This window comes from Homo sapiens, chromosome 3 (genome assembly GCF_000001405.40).
Source record: "Homo sapiens chromosome 3, GRCh38.p14 Primary Assembly".
In the NCBI taxonomy this organism is placed as follows: domain Eukaryota; kingdom Metazoa; phylum Chordata; class Mammalia; order Primates; family Hominidae; genus Homo; species Homo sapiens.
In genome coordinates, this window is record NC_000003.12 from 193738947 (window position 1) to 193747731 (window position 8785).

Below are 8785 nucleotides of genomic sequence, written 5' to 3' on the forward strand. Positions count from 1 at the left end.
GGAATTGAACAATGAGAACACACGGACACAGGAAGGGGAACATCACACACCAGGGCCTGTTGTGGGGTCGGGGGAGGGAGAGCATTAGGAGATATACCTAATGTTAAATGACGAGTTAATGGGCGCAGCACACCAACATGGCACATGTATACACATGTAACAAATCTGCACGTTGTGCACATGTACCCTAAAACTTAAAGTATAATAATAATAATAAAAAAAAAAGAGCTCACTCTTGATGTTGTCAGCGCTATGAGTTTGAAAACTGCACACTGTATCCGTCATTACAGTTTGGTGCAGAATAGTCTCGCTGCCCTAACAATCCTCTGTGCTCTGCTTATTCATCCTTGCCCCCTCCAAATCCTTGGCCACCACAGATCTTTTCACTGTCTCTATAGCTTTGCCTTTTCCAGAATGTCATATGGTGGGATCATACAATATGTAGCCTTTTCTGACTGGCTTTATTCAAATAGCAATATTCATCAAAAGTTCCATCATATCTTTTTGTGACTTAATAGCTCACTTATTTTTATCACTGAATAATAGCATTGCATTGTCTTGATATACCACCGTTTATTTGTCCATTCACCTATCGAGGGACATCCTGGTTGCTTCCAAGTTTTGGCAATTATGAATAAGGTTGCTCTAAACATTCATGTGCAGGTTTTTGTGTGAACATAAGTTTTCAACTCATTTGAATTCAAGAAATGCTATTCCTGGATGGTAGGGTAAAATTATATTTAGCTGTGTAAAAAAGTGCCGTATTGTCTTACAAAGTGGCTGTACCGTTTCATATTATTGCCAGTAATTAGGGACAGTTCTTGTTGCTCCACAGCCTCACCACGGTTTCCTGGTGTCGGTGTTTCTAATGGTTGTCGTTCTTATAGGTGGGTGGTGGTGTCCCTTTTTTAAAATTTGCAATTCTCTAATGATGCATGATATTGAACATCTTTTCATATGCTTATTTGCCATCTGTATATCTTCTTTGGTGAGGTGTCCATTCAGGTCGTTTGCCCATTCTTTAATTGGGCTGTTTTCTTATTGTTGAGCTTTAAAGGTTATTTGTATGTTTTGGAAAACAGTCCTCTATCAGATGTGTCTTTTGTAAATATTGTTTTCTCTGTCTGTGGATTTTTCCCCCTCATTTTCTTGATGTCTTTTACAAAGCAGAAATTTCTAATCGAACGAAGTCCACCTTTTCAATTCTTTCTTTCATGGGTTGTGCCTTTGGTGTCTAAAAAGTTATCACTAAACTCAGGACCATCTAGATTTTCTCCTATGTTATCTTCCAGGAGTTTTATAGTTTTGCATTTTACATTTAGGTCTGTAATCTATTTTGTGTTAATTTTTTGTGAAGGATGTAAAGAGTGTGCCTAGAATCATTTTTTTTAACATGTGGATGTCCAATTGTTCCAGCACGATTTGTTGAAAAGACTGTATTTTCTTTGTATTGCCGTTGGTCCTTTGTCAAAAGATGAGTTGACAATATTTATGAGGGTCTATTCCTTTTTTTTTTTTTTTTTTAAGAAGACAGGCTCCAGCCAGACTGGAGCGTAGTGGCTCTTCACAGGTGCGATTCCACTACTCATCAGCACAGGAGTTTTGACTTGTGTTTTCTGACTTCAGCCAGTTCACCCCTCCTTAGGCAACCTGGAGGTCACCATATTGATGCTGAACTTAGTGTGGACACCCAATTGGCATAGTGCACTACAGCCCGGATCTCTGGGGCTCAAGTGATCCGTGAAGATCTATTTCTGGGCTGTCTATTCTGTTTCATTGATCTATTTGTCTATTCTTCTATTCTTTTGCCAATGCCACACTGTCTCTATTACTGTAGCTTTATGCTGAGCCTTGAAACTGGGCAGTCAGTCCTCTGACTTTGTTTTCCTTCGATATTGTTGGGAAGAACTGACATCTTACAATATCGAGTCCACCTATCCGTGAATGTAAAATATCTCTCTATTTATTTAGTTGGAGTTTCGTAGTTTTCCTTCTGTATATCTTTATACATGTTGTTAGATTTATACCTAAGTATTTCATTTTGAGGTGTGCTAATATTGTATAAATGTATTTTATTTTTAACTTCAAGTTCCAATTGTTTATTGTTGGTATATAGGAATGTAATTCACTTTTTTTTGTTTGTTTGTTTTGTTTTTGTTTTTTTGTGAGACAGTCTCGCTCTTGTCACCTAGGCTGCAATGCAGTGGCACAATCTCGGCTCACTGCAACCTCTGCCTCCTGGGTTCAAGCCATTCTCCTGCCTCAGCCTCCCAAGTAACTAGGATTACAGGCGCCCGCCACCACACCCAGCTAATTTTTGTATTTTTAGTAGAGATGGGGTTTCACCATGTTGGCCAGGCTGGTCTCGAACTCCTGACCTCAGGTGATCCGCTTGCCTCGGCCTCCCAAAGTGCTGGGATTACAGGTGTGAGCCACCGTGCCCAGCCATGATTCACCTTTATATATTAATCTTGTATCCTGCAACTTCACTATAACTACTTATTAGTTCTAGGAGGTGTATTGTTTGTTTTGTCAGTTCTCTTAGATTTTCTACATGGACAATCATGTAATTTGTAAATGAAGACAGTTTTATTTCTTCCTTCCTAATCTATATGCCTTTTATTTAAAACAAACATTTGTTTTGTAATGATATCCTCATGCATTTTTTTGGGGTCTATTTTTGCTTCTTTTCTTCCTTCCTTTTTTAAAGGCCTAAATTTTAATAGGACTTTAATGGATAAATGTCAAAAAAAAAAAAAAAAACCAAAAGACCCTTAACTTCTAACATTTATTTTCAAATCTTAACACTGCATTTAAATGGTTAAAGTAACACAAATTTATATATAAACCTAATAATTAGGAAGCAATGGAAAATTCTTATTCTAAGTAAAAATCATTCTTTCCTGCAGCTCAGAACTTTCCGGCAATTTTGTTTTCTTCCTCTGAAGTACTTCTTTTTAGAAATTCCTTTAGTAAGAATCTGTTGATGGCAAAATTTCTCAGTTTTTATTTGCCTGCAAATGTCTTTATCTTAGTCTTTTTCTTCAGTGATATCTTAGTTGGGTTTATAAGTCTTGATTGACAATTATTTTTCTTTTGCACTTTGTTTTTCTGTGTTTTTCAAAACCAGCTGGGCACAGTGGCACACACCTTTAGCCCCAGATATTTGAGAGGCTGAGACAGGAGGATTACTTGAGCTCAGAAGTTTGAGGCTGTAGTGTGTTATAATCATGTCTGTGAATAGCCACTGCACTTAAGCCTGGGCAACTTAGCGAGACCTCATCTCTTAAAAAAAAAAAAGTGTGTGTGTGTGTGTGTGTGTGTGTGTGTGTGTGTATTAGATCTATCTTTGAGTTCACAAATTCTTTCTTCAACTGTGCCTAACTTCATGTTTCATTTAGGTTTTTCCTCATCTGCTTAGTTTTTAATTATAATAACTATGATTTCTCATGTTTAAAATTCTTTCTGGTTGTTTTCTACAAATGCCTGGGCCCTTTTGAGATTATTTTATTCCTTGCTCATGTATTTTGATTCCCTCTTTTATTTCTGAAAACATTTCTTTTTACTTCCTTAAAACATAATTATTTTTAATTCTGTGTTCCATAGTTCATATATATGAAGTCGCTGGGAATTTAATTCTGCTTTTTTTTTGTTTCTTCTGATTCTTATTGGTGGTGGCTGGGTTTTTCATGTGTTTAAAAATTTTGACTGTGAGCTGGGTTTTGACTGTTCAGCTGGGTTTATTCGTGGGAACCCATGAGGTCTGGGTTTTGAGTGCATCCTTACAGAGAGAATACGCATTTGCTTCTCTGCCAGGTGGCCCTGTAATGGTATAACACGAGACCATTTTTAAGTTAACTCTTCCGCTGGGGGTTTCCAGTCAACAAAAAATGTGTGAATTTAATTCCTTGTGCAGATAAGTTTCATTTTCACCTTCCTTTACCAGTGGACAGTAAATCCTTTTACTGAGACTGTAGCTTTTCAGGCTTCTTACTTTATTAGGGGTCTCAGTTCCAATTTTCCAGCTTATTCAGGCTGAATATCTAGTCTTCTGTTCCCTGCAAGGCCATTAAAACTCCAGCTTGTTTCAGCGATTGGCAGATGCTCTCAGGATAGCTTTGGTTCAGCACGAACTCCCTCTTCAGTTTGGCACCTGGTGACTTCCCTTACTTCCAGGTCAGCTCAGCTCTGAATCTAAAAGTATTCCTGTAATATTTTATCCAGAATATCTGTATGCTTTATCTCAGGAGGGCTTTTCAGGCTCTCTGGTCATTTGCCAGAAATACCATAGCACGAGTTTCTTTCTAAACGTAGTCACTTTTTCACTCATTGTTAAATGTCACCTTTATTTTGAAAGGATGGATTATGGGTATATTAAAAATATCTACTAGGTAGCATACTACTGGCAGCTACCTATCACCAAACGAATAGCAAAGTTATAATAATTTGTGGGGTTTTTTGTAAGAGAAAAATGTGTACCTAAGTTCCTTGCCATGAGATGACTTATAGAATCTTCACAGTTACTTGCCATCTCCCATTTAAAATAATTACTGAATCCAACCTAATTGGACAAATATGAACTACAATGCCCTGTAATAAGCTCAGAATGATAGAGCAGATGAGGGTTTCTCCGTCTACCTGTCTAAGTTATAGACATCTCACTGACATGTCTTGGATTATGTCTGGGCATCATCAATGTTAATAAAACTTAAATTCTATGTTTTGTAATCAAATAAAAATACATAGAAGTTCTAATATTTTATTTCCTTCATGCCAGTGGCTAATCTCATCTTGGTTGGGGTAAGTTACTTCTGGCATGTAGTGGGTGGAGGCCAGGAATTCTGGCTTAAACATCCTACAATGCGCAAGACTCCCCTCCGTGGCTGAATTGTTTTGTCAAAGATGTTGAAAATGCTCAGTTTGAGAAGCACCGAGTCAGACACGGAGGAAGTGTGGCAATTTCAGGCTCTGGTTTCACTCCTCACTGCCGCCCTTCACAGTCCTCCTGATTCAGGTGTACCACGCTATGCTTCCTTCCCCAATCGTAAATATCCTCTTCGTGTCTTTTCTTCCAGAGCTTCACACACTTCATGGGCATGGTGTGTGAATTGTTTTCCAGCTGCAGCATTTCTAACTGAATCTCTGTCTCAGAGCTAGATGGTGTCCACAGGGTTCAAGAGAAGGGCACTTTTCCTAATCATTTACTTCAGGCTGTTATTCAGATGACATCATCCTTCTAAACCAAAGAGACTAGGAGGAAAAGGGGAGGGGGCGTTTACTTTTCCTGTAAAGCAAACTCCAGGTGACTGCAATACAGTATCTCACGTGGTCACAGGCTCTGGTTCTAAGAGCAAATATGAAGGTGGATGGGAAGAGATGGAGTGGAGAGTACGGGAACGGAATCAACACAGCAGGGTGTGTTTGTGTTGGGGGGAGATTTTGAAAGTCCCATATTTGGGCTGAGGAGACCCAGATGGCACCCCTGAACCTCCATGCAGCTTGGATAAGCTGGTAAGCAAGGTCCAGGGCAGACAGGCAGGCAGGAGGCCAACGAGAGGGAAACGCAGAGCTCCCAACTCCTTCCTGCAGAGGCTTGCAGGACTGTGTGCTAGAAATTAGAGGGGGCTTTTCACCTGTCTCTGTTCACTCATGACACAAACCCTTCCTTGAGGAAAGAGTCAGAGGTCAGTGAACGTGACAAAATCACCTCCCGTCGCTGTGAGGCTGGCCCGGGACTCTGCTGGCTGAGGCTAGGTAACTTGTTCCTCTCCGTGTCTCCCGTCCTGACCTCACCCAGGCCTGAGCCCGCCTTGCATCTAGAAGCTGTCTGGCCCATTAGTGTCCTTCCACTCCACAGAAGGTTCAGACTAGAAGGCTCTTGACCTCATGTACTCCTTTGCTCTGCATTTTAAACATGAAGAAACCAAGGGCATGATAGAGCTCTTTGTTCCCATTCAAGACATCTTATTTCTGAGGGCAGGTCTCCTTGGCCTGAGGGGCTTGAGAGCAGGCACTAACCTTGACTTTAGGGGCCCTAAAAAGGAAGTGAGCTGTGTCAGAAATGTGTCTGGGGCTCACCTTGGCAATGGGAGCCATTCAGCTTGTACCTAAAGGAACAGTTAGCCCAGAGTGAAACCCAATTCTTAGTTTAAAGAAACAGACGCAGAAAGACTTCTTAAGCCTGGATCAATGTCTTTCCCCACAAGGAGTGAGAAAATAAAAACAATGTTGAATCCTCTCACGCTGCTAATAAAAAGGAGACAGGGCTCAAGTGAGGGCAGCCAGGGAGCGCAGAAGGAGGCATTTTCCATTGAACTTTTTCTGCTTATGCAATAGATCTTCATTATCTACACTGTGCTGTGGCTCTCCAGCTCCCCCAGGGAGATGCTTAATGACATAAACTGCTTAATAAGCAGTGACTGGTGCCCCGGAAGAGCCGATGGAAGAGGAAAGCGGCCTGCTCCTATCTCCTAGTGTTCTGCATTTCTCTCTCACAGCTGATTTCAGATACTGGCCAGAGGGAGATAAAGGGCAGCTGGCTTCCCAACCAGACCAGCAGCATTTGCCCTGTTGGAAGGCTGGCTTCAGGCAACATTGCCACTCACTTTCCCTCATGAGGGGAAACGCGGCCTCCATTTTTTGTGCTCTTAAGCAAGAATTTCCTACTTTGGTGCTGTCTGTCTTAGGCTCCACCCAGAAGCCTCATTCACTTTTCTGAGATAGCGTCTTGCTCTGTCACCCAGGCTAAAGCGCAGTGGCATGATTTCGGCCCACTGCAACCTCTGCCTCCTGGGTTCAAGTGATTCTCTTGCCTCAGCCTCTCGAGTAGCTGGGACTACAGGTGTGTGCCACCATGCCTGGTTAATTTTTGTATTTTTAGTAGAGATGGGGTTTCACCATGCTGGCCAGGGTGATCTCAAACTCCTGGCCTCAAGTGATCTACCCACCTCAGCCTCCCAAAGTGCTGGGATTACAGGTATGAGCCACTGTGCCTCGCCATCATTCACTTTTATTTACCAAACATGTATTGCCGGGTAATTTTCTATGTGCTTACAGGTATTCATCTACATAAGCTGGGCGCAGTGGCTCACACCTGTAATCCCAACACTTTGGAAGGCAAAGGCGGGAGGATTGCTTGAACTCAGAAGTTCAAGACCAGCCTGGACAACATAGCGAGACCCTGTCTCTACAAAAAATACACAAATTAGCTAGGCATGGTGGTGCACACTTGTAGTCTCAGCTGCTTGGGAGGCTGAGGTGGGAGGATGACTTGAGCCTAGGAATTCAAGGCTACAGTGAGCTATGTTCACGCCACTACACTCTTGCCTGGGCGACAGAGTGATGCCCTGTCTCCAAAAAGGAAAAAAAAAATGGGTCACAGAGTTAAGTTCTATTTCTAAGCTCATTTTAAAGATGAGGAAACTGAGGCACAGAGAGATCAAATCTGCCCAGCCGCAAGGAACATGGTGGCTTTCCTATACTCCTAACCTCTGTTCTGGGCCGGGCCTGGCACTATGTTTCTCTCTGCTCTCCCCTGGGCCCACTCTGCACATGCTCCTCTTTCTCCTGAAGCCCTCCCAGGCTGCTCCCCTTCCCCCGCTCTCCTTGCCACTCTCAGCCTGTATCTCAGGTTCTACTGACCTCCTCTCAGGTACATTCTCATCTACACATTTTCAGCTAGTTCACTGTCCAAGATTTTCCTCCAAGATCAAAAATCAAGAGGAGACATTTCTCTCTCAAGGCAAAATCCTGAAAAACTGTCAAGGATGATAACACAGAGATATTGTCCTAATGTCGTTTATAACATTGAAAAATTGAGAACAGCATTAGTGTTCAGTAATAAGGGATCTGTTAACAAAATAAGGAGTATCATGCAACCATTAAAAATGCATATTTCTGGAAGGCTTTAGAGAGGGAATATGTTAAGGGAGAAAATGAGACTCACATTCGATATAGCACAAGGGCGAATGGGAGGGATGTGGGGGTCTATGGGCAAGTTATCACTGACCCTATTAAGAATTGCTGTCGCTGGGTAATGATAAAAAGCAGACCACTTTTATTTGATTTTATTATTGTTTTAAAATTTGCTACAGATGATCTACCTCCTTGTCGCCTGTACCCAGGGGCAACTGCTCTCACCAGGCCTCCCCACTTGGTATGTCACTGCTGTCATTTTGTCCATCGTGTGCCATTTAATTGCTCATTCAAAATCTTTCTTATAGAACTTCAATCACTGTGAGATCATTTCTCTGCTGATTAAGGAGGTTGAACATACTTTCATGTGCTTATTGGCCATTGATATGTCTTCTTTTGTGATTCAAAATAATTTTTTTTTCTTTTTAATGCTGAATTGTAGGCGTTCTTTATGTGTTCTCGATACAAGTTCTTAGTGGAACATCTTAACAAACTGTGGCTTGTTTTTCATGTTTTTAAAATTTTATGAGCCCAAAATTTTAATTTTCTTAAAGTTCAATTCATTAATTTTTAAATTTCATAATTAGTGCTTCAGTGTCCTGTTTTTAAGAAATCTCTGCTTACACCAAAATGCCAAAAGTATTCTGCTTTTTTTGGAGATGTTTCATAGTTTTAGCATTTAGTTTGATATCTAGGATTCATCTCAAATTAGTTTTTGTGAATTGTGTGAGATAGGAGTTGTCATTCATTTTTTTCTAGATGGTTGTGTAGTTATTCCAGCACTATTTATTGAAAAGACTTTTCTTTTGCCATTGATTCGCTTTGGTGCCTTTGTCAAACTTTGATTATACATACCAGATGCTTCTAGATT

At 41.0% G+C, this 8785-nt stretch overlaps 1 pseudogene, besides 3 other annotated features; it reads right to left on the bottom strand.

The window, feature by feature from the left end:
• RN7SL447P (RNA, 7SL, cytoplasmic 447, pseudogene) lies at positions 1525-1769 on the bottom strand (annotated as a pseudogene).
• Positions 3764-3813: an enhancer, noted in NCBI's record as "active region_21005". NCBI's record gives its function as "activates an Ori minimal core promoter by ATAC-STARR-seq in GM12878 lymphoblastoid cells {active_cell/tissue: GM12878}" and the evidence as "EXISTENCE:reporter gene assay evidence [ECO:0000049][PMID:35858748]".
• Positions 3834-3883: an enhancer, noted in NCBI's record as "active region_21006". NCBI's record gives its function as "activates an Ori minimal core promoter by ATAC-STARR-seq in GM12878 lymphoblastoid cells {active_cell/tissue: GM12878}" and the evidence as "EXISTENCE:reporter gene assay evidence [ECO:0000049][PMID:35858748]".
• Positions 3934-3983: an enhancer, noted in NCBI's record as "active region_21007". NCBI's record gives its function as "activates an Ori minimal core promoter by ATAC-STARR-seq in GM12878 lymphoblastoid cells {active_cell/tissue: GM12878}" and the evidence as "EXISTENCE:reporter gene assay evidence [ECO:0000049][PMID:35858748]".